General features: G+C 42.8%; 1 protein-coding gene across 1 annotated transcript in view, besides 3 other annotated features; it reads right to left on the bottom strand.

The window, feature by feature from the left end:
* The window catches only part of ATP1B3 (ATPase Na+/K+ transporting subunit beta 3), a 49,907-nt gene extending 41,058 nt beyond the window's left edge, over positions 1–8,849 (bottom strand). The window contains exon 1 of the mRNA NM_001679.4: positions 8,582–8,849. Coding sequence (NP_001670.1) covers positions 8,582–8,690 — 109 coding nt within the window. The 5' untranslated portion in view covers positions 8,691–8,849. The remainder of the gene's footprint in view (positions 1–8,581) is intronic.
* Positions 8,055–8,624: a silencer, noted in NCBI's record as "silent region_14782". NCBI's record gives its function as "represses an Ori minimal core promoter by ATAC-STARR-seq in GM12878 lymphoblastoid cells {active_cell/tissue: GM12878}" and the evidence as "EXISTENCE:reporter gene assay evidence [ECO:0000049][PMID:35858748]".
* Positions 8,895–9,024: a silencer, noted in NCBI's record as "silent region_14781". NCBI's record gives its function as "represses an Ori minimal core promoter by ATAC-STARR-seq in GM12878 lymphoblastoid cells {active_cell/tissue: GM12878}" and the evidence as "EXISTENCE:reporter gene assay evidence [ECO:0000049][PMID:35858748]".
* Positions 9,895–9,954: a silencer, noted in NCBI's record as "silent region_14780". NCBI's record gives its function as "represses an Ori minimal core promoter by ATAC-STARR-seq in GM12878 lymphoblastoid cells {active_cell/tissue: GM12878}" and the evidence as "EXISTENCE:reporter gene assay evidence [ECO:0000049][PMID:35858748]".

Raw genomic sequence — 19,616 nt, 5'->3', positions numbered from 1 at the left:
TGGCAACAAGAGCGAAACTCCATCTGAAAAACAAAAAAAGAAAAAAAGAAAAGAAAAGAAAAAAGAAAAGGCACTACCAGATCCTGATAAAATGAGGACAAGGTTGGTGGGAGTGTTAATGAAATTTGGTACGGGTGGCTAGGATTATGAAGCTAGGAAAAATGAGCATCTCAGATGTCCTCTGAACGTGTGTCTTGATGGGGATAAAGAGAAAATGGTAAACAAGTCAAAGAAAATTAATTCCTAAAATAATTGTAGTACTAGTAATGGGGATATGGGCCACAAAGATTCAAGAGGTTCAAGCGATGTTATTGAATAGCACCGGCACAATTTGGCTAAGTCTGGAGCCTAGACGACAGGATAGTGAAGCTGTTTTTTAAAACTGCAAAAATAGGAGCAATACAGAACCTCAGGGAAGGAAGGGAAACGAGCTATTTACCAGATGACGTTATCTGGTATGAAAGTTAGTTAAGACATCTAAGCCTCACACTCTTAGATTTGTGGGATATGCAGAAAGCAACTGACAATAAACAGGGGCCTGGAACCTGAGAGAGATGTCAACCAAGAAGTAAAATCTGTAATGATCTTTGCAGTTGTTATATGACATTGCCAGGAAAGAAGAAGAGAAAACAAGGCCAAAGACAGCACCTGAGATACATACATTGCATTAGTCAGGGCCTAGAGGGACAGAACTAATAATATGTATATATCTCCTTGAGGAACAAGGAGAGCCAGTCTGAGTCCCAAAACCAAAGAACATGGAGTCTAATGTTTGAGGGTAGGAAGCATCCAGCACGGGAGAAAGATGTAGGCTAGGAGGCTAGGGCCAGTCTCTCCTTTTCACGTTTTTCTGCCAGCTTTATATTTGCTGGCAGCTGATTAGACAGTGCCCACCCAATTAAGAGTGGGTCTGCCTTTCCCAGCCCACTGACTTAAATGTTAATCTCCTTTGGCAACACCCTCACAGACACACCCAGGATCAATACTTTCTATCCTTCAACCCAATCAAGTTGACACTCAATAATATTAACCATCACAAACACTTAGAAGACAGGAAGAGCAAACAAGAAGGAACTAGGAAAGGAATGGTTAGAGAGCTAGGGAGTGGGAGCAGGAGTATGAGTATGTAAAAGGCCACTTTTTATGAGCCAGATACTGCCAACATGCAAAAACCAAAAGAAAAGTACCCCATGCCTTGCAGGAAGGTCACTTCCAAAGTCATATCTTACCCACAGCACCAGCAAAATCCTAAGAAGTCACAAATAAGAGCTAGCTCCACAAATGACTCAGTAACAAAGTTTAAACAGGTATGTGGGAGGTTATTATGTTAAAAAAAATTTTCCGAAATATTATTAGTAATAGCACCCCATAAGGGAAGAAGGGCACTATTAAATAAACTCCCATTAAATTTGAGAGCAGGTAAAAGAAAAAAAGACTTTATGAGGGTCTCATAAAAGCAGTATAAGAAGCTGAAAAGAGCAATAAAGCAGGAAGCAAACCTAAATAAAATTTTGCCCTGGTTCTGTCACTATTATCAGATGCGTGATCCAGGCATGTCACAAACCCAGCTGAGTCTCCAATAAGAAAGTTAAGTGGAATAATCACTAAGCTTCTTTTGAACACTGAACTTCCATGAAAACCCATCAGTACTCTAACAAAAGAAAAAGGAAAATGCCCCAAAATTGAGGGGACAATTATACTATGGGTACACCAATACCGTCAAACACTGTGAAGCCATTAAAAACAATACTGCAGAAGACTAACTTCATGGAAACATTCATAGTACTGCTCATTCAACCAGTTTGTATTACATTCCTAGCAAGTGCTAGGACAGGCCAGGGGTTAGAGAATCAAAGAGGAATAAGACAAGAATAAGATTATAGTCTAGTAAATAGGCAATGACAACAATATATAAAGTTATAAATGCTATGATAGAAAAAGGTTTTATTTTATTTTGTTGAGTCTTAACTTTTTTTTAGATAGGCTAACTCTATCACCTAGGCTGGAATGCAGTGGCACAATTACAGCTCATTGTAGCCTCGACCTCCTGGACTCAGGTGATCCTCCCACCTCAGCCTCCCGAATAGTTGCAACTACAGGTCATTATCAAAGTCTGATTGCAAAAATTCACTACGCCACCACACCTGGCTAATTTTTTGTATTTTTAGTAGTGACAGGGTTTCACCATGTTGCCCAGGCTGATTTCTAACTCCTGGCCACAAGTGATCCGCCCACTTCGGCTTCCCAAAGTGCTGGGATTACAGGCAAGAGCCACTGCACCTGGCCTTAATGCAAAGAGGAGTTCAAAGATGTTTTCTGGGTATCAGACTATCAAAGCTGACATCTGATCAGCCAGACCAACATGGAATAAGGGGATGAGAGGCCCAGAAGCTAGGAAACAGCCCAGAAGGAGTAGGAAATAACTATGTGGAATGGTAGAGAGAGATGACAGGAGAGAAGTAAGCCACTGAGATTTTAAAGAGTTTGTATGTCGTGCTAAGGAGCCCTTGAGAACAACACAGATTTATATGAACAGATAACCTATGAAACATCCAACTGGAGATTTCTGATAGGCAGGTGGTTATAAGAACATTAAAAACTCATGAGGCCGGGCGCGGTGGCTCACGCCTGTAATCCCAGTACTTTGGGAGGCCAAGGCATGTGGATCACCTGAGGTCAGGAGTTTGAGATCAGCCTGACCAACATGGAAAAAAACCCTATCTCAGCTAAAAATACAAAAATTAGCTAGGCATGGTAGCGCATGCCTGTAATCCCAGCTACTTGGGAGGCTGAGGCAGGAGAATCGCTTGAATCCGGGAGGCAGAGGTTGCGGTGAGCCGATATCGCACCATTGCACTCCAGCCTGGGCAACAAGAGCGAAACTCTATCTCAAAAAACAAAACAAAACAAAATTGTATGATTAGATATGCAGCTTTGGGAGTCCCAACAGAGATAGTAACTAAGCCACCAGACTAGATAAATTCAACAGGAAGTATGTATGGTCACCATAAAGGTGACAGACCCAAGGACACCTCCAGCACATCAACATTTAGGAAAAAGGCAGAGGAATAAAGACCATTCTCCTTAAATGTTAAATGATAAGATCAGGTATTTAGGTATGTTTTAAAAACTTATTTATACATAGGAAAAAGACATAAAATGTTAATAGTGGTTATATTAAGTGGTTAAAGATTACAGGTGACTTTTCTTCAAAACCAACAGAATGAATGCAAAATTAGAAAATAATTAAATTTATCTTTCAAGGTTAAATGGGTGTTTCCTCCTATTTCACAATCAGTGTTAAATGACTGGTCCTTAATCAAATGATGATAAAATCATGGAAAAGTTGTTACTATAGACAGGAGGGCTTTTAAGACTTCTTTTAATACAACTAGTTTAATTGTATAGATATAAATCCAAAAGTCAATTTCAAAGAAATCGAATTACATCAGGGGTGGGGAGAGGCTCTTTAATAATCTTAAAGCACTCGTACTACCATAATTACAATGGTATTGTAACACAACACATACACTTACCCTTTCTCTCCCTCCCACCACAGGACTACTTCCTGGACAATCCAGGAAGTACTTTCTCCTGCTAGATAATGGCTCAGTACCTGCCCTTCTCTTCTGCTGCTGTCACCACATGTACCATTGGCCTGCGTTTATAGCCTGCACACAGGGTAAGGCAAGTCCTGTTACTTTCCCAGTGATGCACATTTTTGTAAAGTTTGTAAAGCTTCCATTTATGCCTGTGTTCCATTACTGGAACGCTAAGCATGTGGGAGTTATATCCTACTGCTCAATGTCCTTGCCAAGGTCTCATTGCAAAAATTTTAAAAATTGCAACCTCCAGCATAAATGGGTTAATGGCACACTCCACAGGACAAAGAACACCATCTTACAAAAATTATGTGACAGACAATGGAAAACAAACACATCTGCCTTCTCCCCTACTGTCAGATGCCCCAGATGGGATGAAGCCTGATCTCCAAAGCAGAACAATTACTGAGCCATGACCCAGAAGTGACTGAGAAAATGGCACTTCATGGAACTATAGTAAAAGAAAAGGCACACAAACAAAATATAGGTGCTAACAGTTTTGGTCCAGAATTCTGACTAGGCTTGGAAATCACTGACTTGAGTTTTAAGTTAATATTAATACAAAGCATTTACTGACAGACCACCTTAATAAAGATAATGAACCCCAAAGAAGCTCACAAGTAGATGTTATTAAATGACAACACATCATGGCATAGTTGGTTTTTCTTTTCTTTTTTTTTTTTTTGGAGGTGGAGTCCTGAGCTTGTCGCTCAGGCTGGAGTGCAGTGGCGCGATCTTGGCTCACTGTAACCTCCACCTCCCGGGTTCAAGCAATTCTCCTGCCTCAGCCTCCAGAGTAGTTGGGATTACAGGCACCCGCCACCATGCCGGGCTAATTTTTGTACTTTAAGTAAAGACGGATTTCGCCATGTTGGCCAGGCTGGTCTCGAACTCTGACTTCAGGTGATCCGCCCGCCTCAGTCTCCCAAAGTGCTGGGATTACAGGCATGAGCCACCATGTCCCGCCTGGTTTGTTTTTTAAAAAATCTCTGGCCTTGGAGTCTGAAGCCCCAAGGATTTTATCACTAACTCCCTGAGTGAATTTTGGCAAATCAGATGACCCATAGGTTTAATTTTGCCACCTATGAAATGAAGGCACTGGGCTAGATTAGTGGCTTTCAAGAGTTTTTGGACTATGAGCCAAAGTAACAAATACAGTTTACACTGGGGTATCTATATATGCAAAATACACAAAAGCTTCATGAAACAACACTTTTTTTAAAGCTAGAATGAACCTATTAGGTAAAATAAACATATTTTTACTATTCTATTTCATCATTAAAAAAATGTTAATGGCAACACTTGGCCCACTACTAGTAGTTTAAATAACACTAGATCTCTAAGCTTCATTAATTTGACTCTAATTGTATTCAATGAACTTAAGTTATTTAATATTTTGCAAACATCAGCCACTAGGTGCTCAATTTTCTTTGTCCTGTGTATTCATAAATGGCAACTATTTATTGCTGACTTATACTTACTTTTCAGCTTGAAAACCAGTGCTAAGTACACTTGGATCACCCAACTAGTTGGCTTTACGTTACTGTGAAAATCACATGAAGTAACTTATGTGTATATAAGCATTTTGAAACTGCTGTAACCACCTGTAAGATATTAGCCAAATACACAGTAAAGCGGCCACTCAAAATCTTTACGTAGCTGTTTTAAATAAGGCAATGCAATGTAACTTGCAACATTTTCACTTTATCCAAAATGTAAATAGCAAAACTACCTTTTAAATATGTGTGCTTTTTAATGTATCCAATGCACTTGGAGAGGAACCTTAGATCAAAATGAGACAAACATACTAAAGACTTAAATGTGTAAAAATAAAACCAGGAAACATCTTAAATGAATGATAAAATCCTGGGGGTAGACACACCAGGAGTCCTAGCAACTTTACAAGGTCAAAAAAGATGTGATTTTTTTTCCTTCCACCCCCTACAACAAATACATAATCTTTTTCTCCCACCACCTACATAAAATTTGATTAAAAAAAGTCAAAAAGACAACTAGAAAAAAAATTTGCAAAATGACAAAAGGCTGTTTTTCTTAAAAAAAAAAAAAAAAAAAAAAAAGCTGTTACCAAAAACTGTAAGGTTTTTTTTTTTGAGATGGAGACTTGCTTTGTCGCCCAGGCTGGAGTGCAGTGGTGCGATCTCAGCTCACTGCAACCTCCACCTCCTGGGTTCATGCAATTCTCCTGCCTCAGCCTCCCAAGTAGCTGTGATTACAGGCAGGTGCCACCACACCCGGCTAATTTTTTTTTTTTTCATTTTTAGTAGAGACAGGGTTTCACCATGTTGGCCAGGCTGGTCTTGAACTCCTGCCCTCAAGTGATCCACCCACCTCAGCCTCCCAAAGTGCTGGGATTACAGGTGTGAGCCACCGCGCCCGGCCCCAAAAATGTAAGGTTTTAAAAGAGATAACACAGGTAAAAATAGCCTCAGTGCTGATGAAGGTATGAGACACCACTACATACCGTTGGGAGTATAAATTGTTAGAAACTTCCTGGAAAGCACATGAAAACAAGTTTTCAAAATGTAAAAAGTACATATGAATGGCCTAGAAATCCCATCGGTATAAATATATACCAAGGAAATAAATGTGCAAAAATGTACATGAAAAGGGTGAATATAGGGAAACCTGTCTAAAAATCTTTAGTAACATGGAAAGATGCCCACAATATACTCAGAATATAAAACAACACTTTATGATCCTTTTGTTTTAAAAAAAATGTTATACACAATTCAGTAACATATATACCAGAATGTTAATAGTATCTCTGAGGTATGATGACATCTGGCAGCAAGCCCATACAGTCCCTTCAAGAGAATTAAAAAAAGAATCCTTCCTGGCAGACATATCCCCAGAGGCACAGAGCTCTCCAAACTGATCCTGCCTTTGCAAGAATTAGAACAAGGTGCCCCTTCTCTAGGCAGACCCAACCATGGTCTAGGATACACAGCCTGGCAAGCTGAATATGGATTTCGGCCTCCTCTCACGACTCCCTCACATATCCTTAGAGGGATACCCTTACATTGGGACAGGATTATGGTTAATTTTCACCTATATATGCCATTCTTCACTGACTTACTATTATTACAATAAACAAAAAATTTACTGATAAGAGTAATACTTATCGATTTTGAAGAGATTGACTTAATCCTTCCAAAATGAATCCCAACTTCACTTGTACTAGTTTTACAGTCCTTACACATTGCTCTCTATTTATTTGTGCATGTTATCTATTTAAATGCATTGACTCAATAAAATAAAATCTCTACCCTAGGTCATACAATACAAAGGTTGAAGAGCACTATCTGCAGTAAGAAATGTCATTCTAACACAAAGTGGAGTTACTCCGTTCTGGAAATGAGGAAGCACTGGGGAAGGGAGAAAGGGAGGAAGGTAGCCTATCAAAATTAATCTCTCTCCACCACTCAAAAATTTCTTCAGCAAAAAGTTAGTACACTCTAGAAACAAGCAATTAAGCTTTATAAATGTTCATCTTTTGTTCCCATGTAAGTCTGGATGCAAGATTTATTTCTTCATCACACTAGTGGGTTCCCAAAAGAAAACAGCAATTTAAATAAAAATCATGAGTGATTACCATGCAGTTAGGCAAGGCATCTGTAAAATAATACAACCGCTGGACTAGGATTAAAGGAGAACTGGGTTCTTTTCTTGGCTTTGTGGCATATGTAATTTTACACAAGGCAAAAATCACAACCTCTCTGGGTCTCATTTTTCTCATCTCTAAAGTGGGGGTTGGGCTAAAAATCCTCCAAGGCCCCTTTCAGCTTGTGATAAGACTTCAAGTCGCCTTTTCACCCTGAAGGAGTCCATTTCAGTCTGCACCAACAGTTTATTTTCTGAGTCACAGCTTATTTCTCCATGCTTATCCTAAAAATGTTGTGCCCAAATAGTTCTAAGCTCTCGAGATTTATTCCCACTCAGAAAGAAATGGTCTTTCAAGACCCACTAACAAAATGTTTCAAAAGGATTTAAAAAGGTAAAATTAGTTTACTTAAGTATAAAGGCAAAAAAAAAAAAAAGCTCTAGCCTGCATTCAGAGATTGATACAATTTTAGGAAAAAAAGGCATCCTAAAGCTACTCTACACGGTAGATGGTTTAAATATATTAAAACAAAGAGCTCACGCATAGAAAAAATCTGCTAACATACAACCATCACTCTCCTGTTTTGAAGACACGGGAAAAAAAAAAAAAACCTGTGTTGTTCAGACAGGATTTACTTTCCCCAAAGAAGCAAATTTGTAAGGAAGAAAACCTCTGTAATTAAAAAGGAATCCGGGAGGAACCAACCTTTTTAAGGGCCTTTTCACTGTCCAAATTCAAGTGCATTTTCTTGTACAATGTACTTCTGTGATTAACTCACCGCTACACGTTTAAGCAACCCACACCCACACTTAACACTCAGTCGCACTCTTCCGACCGGTCGGGGTGGCAGCGTGGACGAGTCACAAGATAGCGGCGGGAGTGGAAATTTCCTCTCCCCTGGAGTGGGGCAGGGTCTGGCTTCTCCGAACCGCTCAGCGGGCCGGGCGCCTCCGCCAGGGCCTCTCGGGCCGGAGCGCTCCGTACAAAGGAGGCCCGGGGGCTCGGCTCCTGCACTCTCGGGGCCCGGCTTCGGGCAGGGGTCCCCGGCTTCCGGCGCCGCGCCGGGCGGGAGGCCCGGGCAGCACGTGCGCCCCGCTCCCAGCAGGGAGGGAGGAACCAGCGCGGCCCGGCCGGGCTGCCCGCGGGCCCCGCTGCTTCGGGAGCGAGCTGCGGCCAGTCCGGCCGGCCCGGGGAGCAATGAATGGGGCCGCACTGCGCCGCCGCCGCCCGGGTTAGGGTCGGGCGGTCGGGAGCCCCGGCGCTGGGAGCCGCCTCCCGCCTTTCCGTTCCCACCAGACCGCGCCCGGCGCCCCCGGGACCGAGGCCGGCCCCGGACGCCCAGCTGCTGCCCGCTCACCCCAGCTCTTGGCGGTGCGCCCCAGGAATTCTCCGGTGGTCGGGTTGTAGATGAAGAGCTTCCACTCGGCCAGGCTCTGGTTGAGGGACTTCTTCTCGTTCTTCGTCATGGTGTGCGCGCGGACGGCGAGAGGAGCTGCGGCCGCGGGGATGGAGGCGGCGAGGGCTGCGGAGGCGCGTCCCGGCTCCGGCGGCGCAGCCCGGAGACGGCAGTGAAGGGTGGGACGGCCGAGAACACCTCCTCGTTACGGGGAGTACTCGAGCCGACTGCGCCGCGCCGCGCCGGGCGGCCGCTTGGGCCGCGGGAGCCTGACGTCTCCGCCCGCCGCAGCCAATCCCCGCGCCGCTCGGCCCGCGCCGCTGCCGCCTCCCGCCAGCGGCCGGGGCGCTGCCTGAGGCGGCGAGGGCGCCCCACCCCGCCCCGGCCCCGCCCCGCAGTAGCCTCGGGGGCTCCCTCAGCCTGGGTCAGAGGAAGCGAGAAGAAAGTCTAAAAATCCGAAGGTTTAGTCGCACGCACGTTTATAATAATAGCAAAAGGCGGGCGTCCCCGCGCCGCAGGTTGCTTAGGAGGAGGACTGGGTTTCCTGGGCGTTCCTGGGCGCCGGGGCGCTGAGAAGATGCTACCCGCGGCGGGCGGGTGCGGAGAGCACGAAAACGACTCCAGTCGGCCCGCGGCTTCCTCTCTGAGGGAACTTAATCGTCCCCTCCCCGAACTGCCTCCCCGACCGTCCCCAGGCGTTCTCTGGGCTCTGTGACGTTCCTACAGGACGCTCTCTGGGCTCTGTGACGTTCCTACAGGACGCTCTCTGGGCTCTGTGACGTTCCTACAGGACGCTCTCTGGGCTCTGTGACGTTCCTACAGGACGCTCTGCGGGGGATCGCGCGGGGCTCCCACAATGTACACGGTGCACTGCTGTTCTGAGAACGTCCTCGCTTGGCTCCCTTGAAGGGTTCAACCGGGAGCCTCGGGTCAATGGGAATTCCGTTCTAAATATGCCAGTGAATGGAGTATAATTTTTCTCGGGATTCAGTTGAATTTATCAATGAAATCTAAATACGTGCTTTCCCAAGGGTCCTGGCAACTGAAAGCTCCCAGCTTTTGCCCAGACGCTCCTACTCTTAACCCACAGGAAAGGAACACTCGTTGGAGGGTCCACGCCTGTGTAGTGTCGCCGGCTTTTCATCTCCCCTGTAGAGATCGCGGCCCTTGGGCGGAGCTGAGGGTGCCGGTAGCGTTTTCCTCCGCGAGATGGAGCTGACGAGTACGGGAGGGGGGGTGCCCTCAGACTCAGCGACAGGATAAAAGACTTTATAGGAATTTGCACAGAAGGTGCGGGGTGGGGGAGGTTGTTGTTGTTGTTGTTTATTTATTTATTTTTAGAAAAAAGCTCTGCCTCCGTTTTATTAGCAAATAAAAATTATGGAGAAATGTAATAGCCATCTTATTGTTTGGAGTGATGAATTATAATCTGTCTGGAAGTTTAAACAGCCTGCAAATGGATGAATTTTCCTTTTTCCTCACTTTTCTTACCAAAGCAAGAAATAATGAATTATACCTCCCACAAATGGAAAAGTGGTAAAATATATTCCTATAAAGTGCTTTTTTCACGCTTAAAAAAGCTAAATTTATAATTATGACATTGAAAATAACCAAAATCCATTTACGTTTTGAGCTAATGACACCAAAAGATTTGTAGAAGCATGTTGGAGAGTTTGGCATGAAATGAGTATTAGAAATAGCAAAGCACCATGCAAGCAGACTGGAATGCACTTCTTTAAATCATAGGCAAGATTGAAAGAACTAAAGAATGTTACCTGCCGGGCGCGGTGGCTCACGCCTATAATCCCAGCACTTTGGGAGGCCGAGGCAGGCGGATCAGGAGGTCAGGATCGAGACCATCCTGGCTAACGCGGTGAAACCCCGTCTCTACTAAAAATACAAAAAAATTAGCCGGGCGTGGTAGCGGGCGCCTGTAGTCCCGGCTGCTCGGGAGGCTGAGGCAGGAGAATGGGGTGAACCCAGGAAGCGGAGCTTGCAGTGAGCCGAGATCCCGCCACTGTACTCCAGCCTGGGCGACAGAGCAAGACTCCGTCTCAAAAAAAAAAAAAAAAAAAAAAAAAAAAAAAAAAAAGAATGGAAGTAGTTAACTATTTTCAACTCATTACAAATATAACTACAGGTTAGAGGAAACCTAAAATACTGGTAGAGTTGATAACAGGCTTTTTCATTTAGGTAAGAAAGAAAGATATTTAGAATGAAACAAAACCTGTCCGCTTCATTTACATTGTGTGTGTGCATGTATGTGTGTGTGCGCTAATAATAAGCGTGCTTTGATAACTAATCACCTGGCACACAAAGAAAACGTGGTAAACAAGAATATTATGAAATAGTGTTTCAAAGATATTGGCTGCTGTCAAGGATTTGTAGTTTGTGTATGTGTGTGTGTATATATATATATATATATATATATATTTTTTTTTTTTTTTTTTTTTTTTTTTTTTTTTGAGATGGAGTCTTGCTCTTGTCGCCCAGGTTGGAGTACAGTGGCTCGGATCTTGGCTCACTGCAACCTCTGCCTCCCGGGTTCAAGCAATTCTCCTGCTTCACCCTTCCAAGTAGCTGGGATTACAGACGCACGCCACCACGCCCAGCTAATTTTTTTATTTTTCAGTAGAGATGGGGTTTCACCATGTTGGCCAGGCTGGTCTCGAACTCCTGACCTCAGGTGATCCGCCCGCCTCAGCCTTCCAAAGTGATGGGATTACAGGCATGAGCCACCACGCCCAGCCTGTTAGTTTGTATATGTTTAATGGTCATTAATATGACTTTCATATTTAGTGCTTTGTGGTTTTCCAAATAAGGATTTAAATACAAATATATAATTCAGTAAGCAGTTTTGAAACACATGACTAGTTCAGTATAGTAACTAGGTCCAACAGATTTCAGTTTGGTGAAATTTTTACATTCTACTCCAAAACATGGAAGCTATTTGTTTCTCTGATATATGGTAACTTGAGCATTACCTGGAAGAGAAAATCCTGTGTGTACTGGGAACCACTGGTCTACCAAGTATGAGCAGATAACATTTAATTACAGTTACATTCTCTGTCAGTTTATTTTACTCTAAGTTTCTCCTTTGAAGGAGAAGTTACTTCGCTAGAGAAAATACAGAATGCCTACCTAAATTTAAGTCCAGATGGATGATGGATTTTTTTTGGTATACATTCCATGCAATATCTGGGACATAGCTACTCCCCCAAAATTATTCTTGTCTGTCTGAAATTCAAATTTAACTAGAAATCTTGTTTTTGTTTTTGTTTTTTTGGAGACGGAATTTGATCTTGTCGTCCAGGCTAGAGTGCAATGGCGCAATCTCGGCTCACTGCAACCCCTGCCTCCTGGGTTCAAGCGATTCTCCTGCCTCAGCCTCCCAAGTAGCTGGGATTACAAGCATGTGCCACCTCACCTGGCTAATTTTTGTGTTATTAGTAGAGACAAGGTTTCACCATGTTGTCCAGGCTGGTCTCGAACTCCTGACCTTAGGTGATCCACCCGCCTCGGCCTCCCAAAGTGCTGGGATTACAGACATGAGCCACTGCACCCAGCCTATCTTGTATTTTTATTTGCTAAATCTGACAGCCCTACCTGTAGAGGATACTTAGGAATTCCACAGTAATAATAATGATCTCTTATAAATAATTAAGTAAGTCCCAGGCCCTGTACTACTTGCGTAGTGTGATTTATTTCTCAGTCTTTACAAATACCCTAATGGGGAGGTACTGTTTCCCTAATTTTGTAAATGAGGGAATTACATTTACAAAATCGTAATTAAGTTTGTAATTAATTCTCTAATTACAGTTACTGAAATTAGAGAAATTAACTCATCCATGGTTAAGAAGCTAGCTAATGACAGCACCTGGATTCAAATACCCACCTCTCCTCCACCACCCAATACCATTAATACCTCTACAGTAGGCCGGGCGAGGTGGCTCAAGCCTGTAATTACAGCACTTTGGGAGGCCGAGGAGGGCGGATCACGAGGTCAGGAGTTCAAGACCAGCCTGGCCAACATGATGAAACCCCGTCTCCACTAAAAATACAAAAATTAGCTGGGCACAGTGGCGGGCGCCTGTAATCCCAGCTACTCGGGAGTTTGAGGCAGGAGAATTGCCTGAACCACGAGGTGGAGGTTGCAGTGAGCCTAGATCATGCCACTGCACTCCAGCCTGGGTGATAGAGCAAGACTCTGTCTCAAAAAAAAGGCAGAATGTTGAGTTACTGAAGCTGGGTGTGTGAAAAAAAAGAAGAAACTTTTTTTTTGAGACAGGGTCTTGCCCTGTTTCCCAGGCTGGAGTGCAGTGGTGCAATCATAGCTCACTGTAGCCTCCACCTCCTGTACTCAAGTGATCCTCCTCCCTCAGCCTCCTGAGTAGCTAGGACTACAGGCATGCCACCACACCTGACTTATTATTATTAATATTATTATCATTATTTGAGATGGAGTCTCGCCTTGTTGTCCAGGCTGGAGAGCAGTGGTGCAATCTCGGCTCCCCACAACCTCCACCTCCCAGGTTCAATTGGTCAATTGATTCTCCTGCTGCAGCCTCCTGAGTAGCTGGGACTACAAGTGCGTGCCACCATGCCCAGCTAATTTTTGTATTTTTAGTAGAGACAGGGTTTCACTCTATTGGCCAGGCTGGTCTCGAACTCCTTCGAACTCCTGACCTCATGGTCCACCCACCTTGGCCTCCCAAAGTGCTAGGATTACAGGCGTGAGCCACCGGGCCCGGCTACATCTGGCTAATTTTTATTTTATTTTTGTAGAGATGGGAATCTCACTATGTTGCCCAGGCTGGTCTTGAACTTCTGGCTTCACTTCAAGCGATAGTTTTGAGTTGACCTCCCTAAATATGGAATTACAGATGTGAGCCACTGTGCCTGGCCAAAAAGAAGTTTTTTATGTGAGGAAGACTAGCCCCTTTAAATTATCAGGCCCAGAGAGGCATTGAAATTAAACACATGGAATGAAACTCTTCCTTGAACTAAATCATTATCTCTTGAAGCCACTTCATTTCTGTAAACCAATGCATTCCTGATGAACAACTTTTGCAATTGTCCCTTTCTCCTGATTCATCCTTTTTTCTTTAAAAACTTGAGCCTCTCCTTTGTTCCCTGAAGCACTCGCCAAGACAACCTGGAAATGTGTCCTGGGCTGCACTTCTCAACCTTGGCCTAAATAAACTCTCTACATTAATTTTGCCTAAGCTTCTTCCTTTTAGGTCAACAGGTGATGGGTACATGAGGTTCATTATACTATATTTGCTTTGTATATGCTTGGAATTTTTCATAATATAATGCTTTTAAAAATTGGAGAAGATGTGAAAAAGAAATTGGGGACAAAGGATGGCCAATTTTCCTGATACACATTTTTGTGGTTCTTTTATTTGAAAAACAACCAAAAGAAGGTATAAATTTGGCTGGGCGTAGTGGTGCATGCCTGTAATCCCAGCTACTTGAGAGACTGAAGCACAAGAATCACTTGAACCCAGGAGGCAGAGGTTGCAGTGAGCTGAGAGTGAGACTCGGTCTCAAAAATAAAAAGAAGGTATAAATTTAACACTTTTAAAAGGAGATATTTTAAAAAGCTGACCTCATAGGAAACAGATAATTCTGGGGACATAAGAGAATTTTTCTTGTATTCTAAATAGTGACCACAGCAAAATCTAAGCTACTTTATCCATAAGATAAGTTGATTATATACATGTAATCAACATATAGATGTGTATGTATAGATCTATATACACACTCATATATATACACATACATATATATATTAGGCACAATCAGTGACATGAAGAAAATTATTGGAAATTAAAAATATAATTGCTAAAATTAAAAAATCAATATAAGGACTGAATGGAGCAGTCAATGGAATCCCCCAAAGCGTAAAGCAGAAAGACAAAAGGAAATGAAAATATTTTTAGAAGTACAAACACATATAGGGCTAATCCAGGAAGGATGCTATTCAACTAATAGTTCCTGGATTGACACTTTATGTGTTTTCAGAAGAAAGACAAGAAAATTCAGGGGAGAATATAATGAGAGAAATAATAGAAGAAAATTGCCTAGAGGTAAGAACAGGAGTCTTCAGCCTGAAAATGTATGCTGGTGCCAGGCATAAGAAATAAAAATAGGCTCATACTTAACCATAACCTTCTGATTTTACAGTACAGAAAATACTAATAGAGGATCCTGAAAGCTTCCAGAGAACAAACAACAGTCCAACTACAATAGAACAAACGTCTGAACAGCACCAGTCTTCCCATTACACTCAGGGCCAGAGGACAGTGGAGTGCCACCTTTAGAGGAATAAGTCTCAGAATACCATACCCAGCCAAGCTGCCACGCATATTCAGACATGTCAGAACTCAGGAAACTCATGTCTCATAAAGTTTTCCTGAAAAAAAAAAAAAAAAATCAAGAGTGGGCCAGTAAAAAGACAAAGGAATCCAAGAATGAGAAAAACTTGGGATCCAAGAAAAACTAGTCCTAACCCAGGAGTGCAATGTCGGGCAGGCCTAGAATGACAGCTGTCTGGCAGGGCAAGCGAGCAACTGGTTTCCAACAGAGAAGAATGCCTGCAAGCAGAAAGTGGAGTCCATGCTACGGAGTGTGGGATTAAGAACCTGGATAAATTTAGTCCTATGATGAAGGCATGTGCTTCTTTTGTTAAGAAGCAAAATGAAAAGCAATGGAAAACAGCAGAAAATTATGTTCCAAATATAAAGCACACTAATTGAGTGTTTGAAGATGTAATCGTTCAGCCCTGATGTTTGGTGCATCCTCTTTCTAGTGGCATAGATTAGTGATAGAGATTTACCTTTTCTAACTGATGCACTTTGTTCTGCAGTGAATCCTGTTTACATAATCAAAACAATATAATTGCAGTTTATTGACTTTAAATACTTAGGAATGACCAGTCGTAGAGCAAAATGTCCATGTTGTAAATTCTGACAATATAAAAGTAGTGGTGGAGCTGACAGAAGGCAGGAGTAGACCTGAGAAGAGAAGAGAAGAGAGAGTTGAAGGAAGATGTGGAAATGTTGGTTTCTTTTTCATACATAATAGGGAGTTTAGAGATCATATTTAAAGATAGTGGGCCAGGTGCAGTGGCTCACACCTGTAATTTCAACACTTTGGGAGGCCAAGGTGGGTGGATCACTTGAGGCCGGGAGTTCGAGACCAGCCTGGCCAACATGACGAAATCCCGTCTCTACTAAAAATGCAAAAATTAGCCCTGTGTGGTGGCGCACATCTGTGATCCCACCTACTCAGAAGGCTGAGGCAGGAGAATCACTTGAACTTGGGAGGCACAGGCTGCAGTGAGCTGAGATGGCCCCACCACACTCCAGCCAGGGTGACAGAGTGAGACTCTGTCTCAAATAAATAAGATGGTGGAGCTGGAAGTAGAAGTTTTAAAATTGTAAATATCACCAACAGAAAAAATAATACTATCATTAACAAAATATAAATGGAGGATAAAGTGGAGCAACACACAAGTAGCTCATTTATCATATCAGAGACTTAATAGTGTTTGGAATTGACTAATAGAAAAATAGGTATATAAGCATGTTGCTTAGAGCTAAAGAGAGAGCAGATGAAATAAAACTGGAAAGGACTGAAAGATCTTGGATATTTTTCTGGTGGGATAGAGGCAGGATATGAGTACTTTTCATTCTTAGTCCTTTTGTACTTTGATTTTTTAAAATTGTGTATATGTTGTATTACTTTGATAGTTTAAGTGGTTGGGGAAAATGCACTTAAGCTGGATCCTCCTATTATAAACTCTGAGCCCCACAATTCCTAACTGCATACTTTTTTTCCTCCTTAAAGATTTAAGTTCATGCCTGTAATCCCAGCACTTTGGGAGGCCAAGGCGGGAGGATCACCTGAGGTCAGAAGTTCAAGACCAGCCTGGCCAACATAGTGAAACTCCGTCTCTATTAAAAACAGAAAAATTAGGCCGGGCGTGGTGGCTCACGCCTGTAATCCCAGCACTTTGGGAGGCTGAGGCAGGTGAATCACCTGAGATCAGGAGCTCCAGACCAGCCTGGCCAACATGGTGAAACCCTGTCTCTACTAAAAGTACAAAAATCAGCCGGGTGTGGAGGCACCTGTTATCCCAGCTACCCAGGAGGCTGAGGCAGGAGAATCACTTGAACCCAGAAGGTGGAGGTTTGCAGTGAGTGGAGATCATGCCACTGTACTCCAGCCTGGGAAACACAGCAAAACTCAGTTAAAAAAAAAAATTAGCCAGGCATGGTGGTGGGCACCCGTAATCCCAGCTACTTGGGAGGCTGAGGTAGGAGAATTGCTTGAACCCGGGAGGCATAGGTTGAGGTGAGCACCATTGCACTCCAGCAAAAAAAAAAAAAGTTATTTAGTAACAGGATAAGAACTAACATTTAAATAAACTGAGTTACTAGCTACTAGGTGAAACCAAATGAAATTTTGACCTATGAAGATAGCAATTTCATATCATTCAACTTAATATATGCTCTTCTCATTAAAAAGTATAAATGGGGCCAGGCAGGGTGGCTCATGTCTGTAATCCTAACACTTTGAGAGGCTGAGACAGGAGGATTGCTTGAGCTCAGGAGTTCAAGACCAGCCTAGGCAACATAGTGAGAACTCGTCACTGAAAAAAAAAGTATAAATGAAGCCAAAACCACAGTAGCTATGGACTCTTATATACTATATACTTAGTATTTTATATTGATTTTTCCACCTAAATAAAAATATAATTTTTAAACCCCACAGAGCTGTGTCAAAAAACACAAAATTATTTTTAATTATAGAAGGGATTAAGATATCAATCTCCAATGAGTTTTGATTTACTTTTGATTAATATTTCAGTTACAGAACAATCTGCAAATTTAACTCAAATTTGAAATATTATTATTATTTATTATTATCAAGCAGCTTCCTGAGCCAGAGTAGGCTTGCACAGACTCCCTCAAATGTGAATTTTTTTTTTTTTTTTGAGGTAGAGTCTCGCTCTGTCGCCAGGCTGGAGAGCAGTGGTGTGATCTCGGCTCACTGCAACCTCTGCCTCCTGGGTTCAAGTGATTCTCCTGCCTCAGCCTCCTAAGTAGCTTGGACTACAGGCGCACACCACCACATCCAGTTTTGGTTTTGACTTCATTTATACTTTTTTTTTTTCAGTGATGAGTTCTTGCTATGTTGCCCAGGCTGGTCTTGAACTCCTAATTTTTGTATTTTTAGTAGAGATGGGGTTTCACCATGTTGGCTAGGATGGTCTCTATCTCTTGACCTTGTGATCCGCCTGCCTCGGCCTCCTAAAGTGCCAGGATTACAGGTGTGAGCCACCGCACCTGGCCTCAAATGTGAAATTTAAAATGAAGGTATCTATTAAATTATCAGGCCCCTTGGGCCTGTAATATTCTGAAATAATACATACTACAGTTTTTCTATTTACTTCTTTTGTGAAGAGCACTGACTCAAGATGGGCCAGAAAGAATTTCCTTCTGGAGGGGCAAAGCACACCAAAGAATGATGTCTTATGCTTCATCATTGTTTGTTTTTGGTTTTGTTTTTCCCTAAGTTGCCTCTTGAGATTTATCAGTGTTTTACAGCATCTTGAAGGTATTTGAGTCTCAAAAGTTAGCCCTAGGGCCAGGCGCAGTGGCTCACACCTGTAACCCTAGCACTTTGGGAGGCTGAGGGGGGTGGATCACCTGAGGTTGGGAGTTCAAGACCAGCCTGGCCAACATGGTGAAACCCTGTATCTACTGAAAATACAAAATTAGCCGAGTGTGGTGGCATGCACCTCTTATCCCAGCTACTCGGGTGCCTGAGGCAGGAGAATCACTTGAATCTGGGAGGCAGAGGTTGCAGTGAGCTGAGATTGTGCCACTGCACTCCAGCCTGGGTGACAGAGTGAGACTCTGTCTCAAAAAAAGAAAAAAAAATAGCCCTAGGCTTTTTTTTTTTTTTTTGGATAAAACTCAAATGCTCTTGCCAAATTTGAGGCATTTGATTCCCTATTCAAGAATCCTTCAAAAGTCTTATCATCCTAAACTCGACAATTTATTTCTGATTGTCATAATTGAAGAACAATTTATTTCTGATTGTCAGCATGAAGAAAAGCTACCAAGGATGTGTAGCTTTTCGCTCACATTGTGATTCTTAACATGGTAGTAGGTTAAGCATGTCTTACCCACTCCTAGATCCTCAGGGAAGGGTTCCTCCAGATGAGTTGGTTTAAGCCCCTCTGTTCATGGATGAGGAAACTGAGGCCCAGAGGGGCTGAGAAACTGAGTCTACACAGAAACTCAATGAGATGCATAAAATGAGACCAGAGTGCTCAGCTCCTAGTGAGGCTTTCTTTCTGTTATTCTGTGCTGTTTTTTTTTATTTTTCTATTTTTAACCTCACTGTCATGCAATATGCCCATGTACTGTGCCATTTCTTTAACTCAGAAACTCACTATCAAATTTGATCAAAATTTTCAAACTCTCCATACGTTAAATACCAGTATTTTAAAAAAATTACCGGGGCTCGGTGGCTTATGCCTGTAATCCCAGCACTTTGGGAGGCCAAGGTGGGCTGATCACCTGAAGTCAGGAGTTCCAGACCAAACTGGCCAACATGGCAAAATTCCATTTCTACTAAAAATACAAAAATTAGCTGGGTGTGGTGGTGGGCCCCTGTAATCCCAGCTACTGGGGAGGCTGAGGCAGGAGAATCACTTGAACCTGGGAGGCAGAGGTTGCAGTGAGCCAAGATTGCGCCACTGCACTCCAGCCTAGGTGACAGAGTGAAACTCCATCTGAAAAAAAAAAAAGTCTAAAATATACTTTTGTAAACCTGAAAAATCATGATTTTTTTTTTTTTTGAGACAGGGTCTCACGCTATTGTTCAGACTGGAGTGCAGTGGCATGATCACAGCAGACTGCAGCCTCAACTTCCCAGGCTCCAGTGATCCTCCCACCTCAGTCTCCCAAGTAGCTGG

Source organism: Homo sapiens, chromosome 3 (genome assembly GCF_000001405.40).
Source record: "Homo sapiens chromosome 3, GRCh38.p14 Primary Assembly".
NCBI classification, from domain to species: Eukaryota; Metazoa; Chordata; class Mammalia; order Primates; family Hominidae; genus Homo; species Homo sapiens.
Note: the sequence above shows the minus strand (reverse complement) of the source record. Positions and strands in the feature narration are given on the sequence as shown.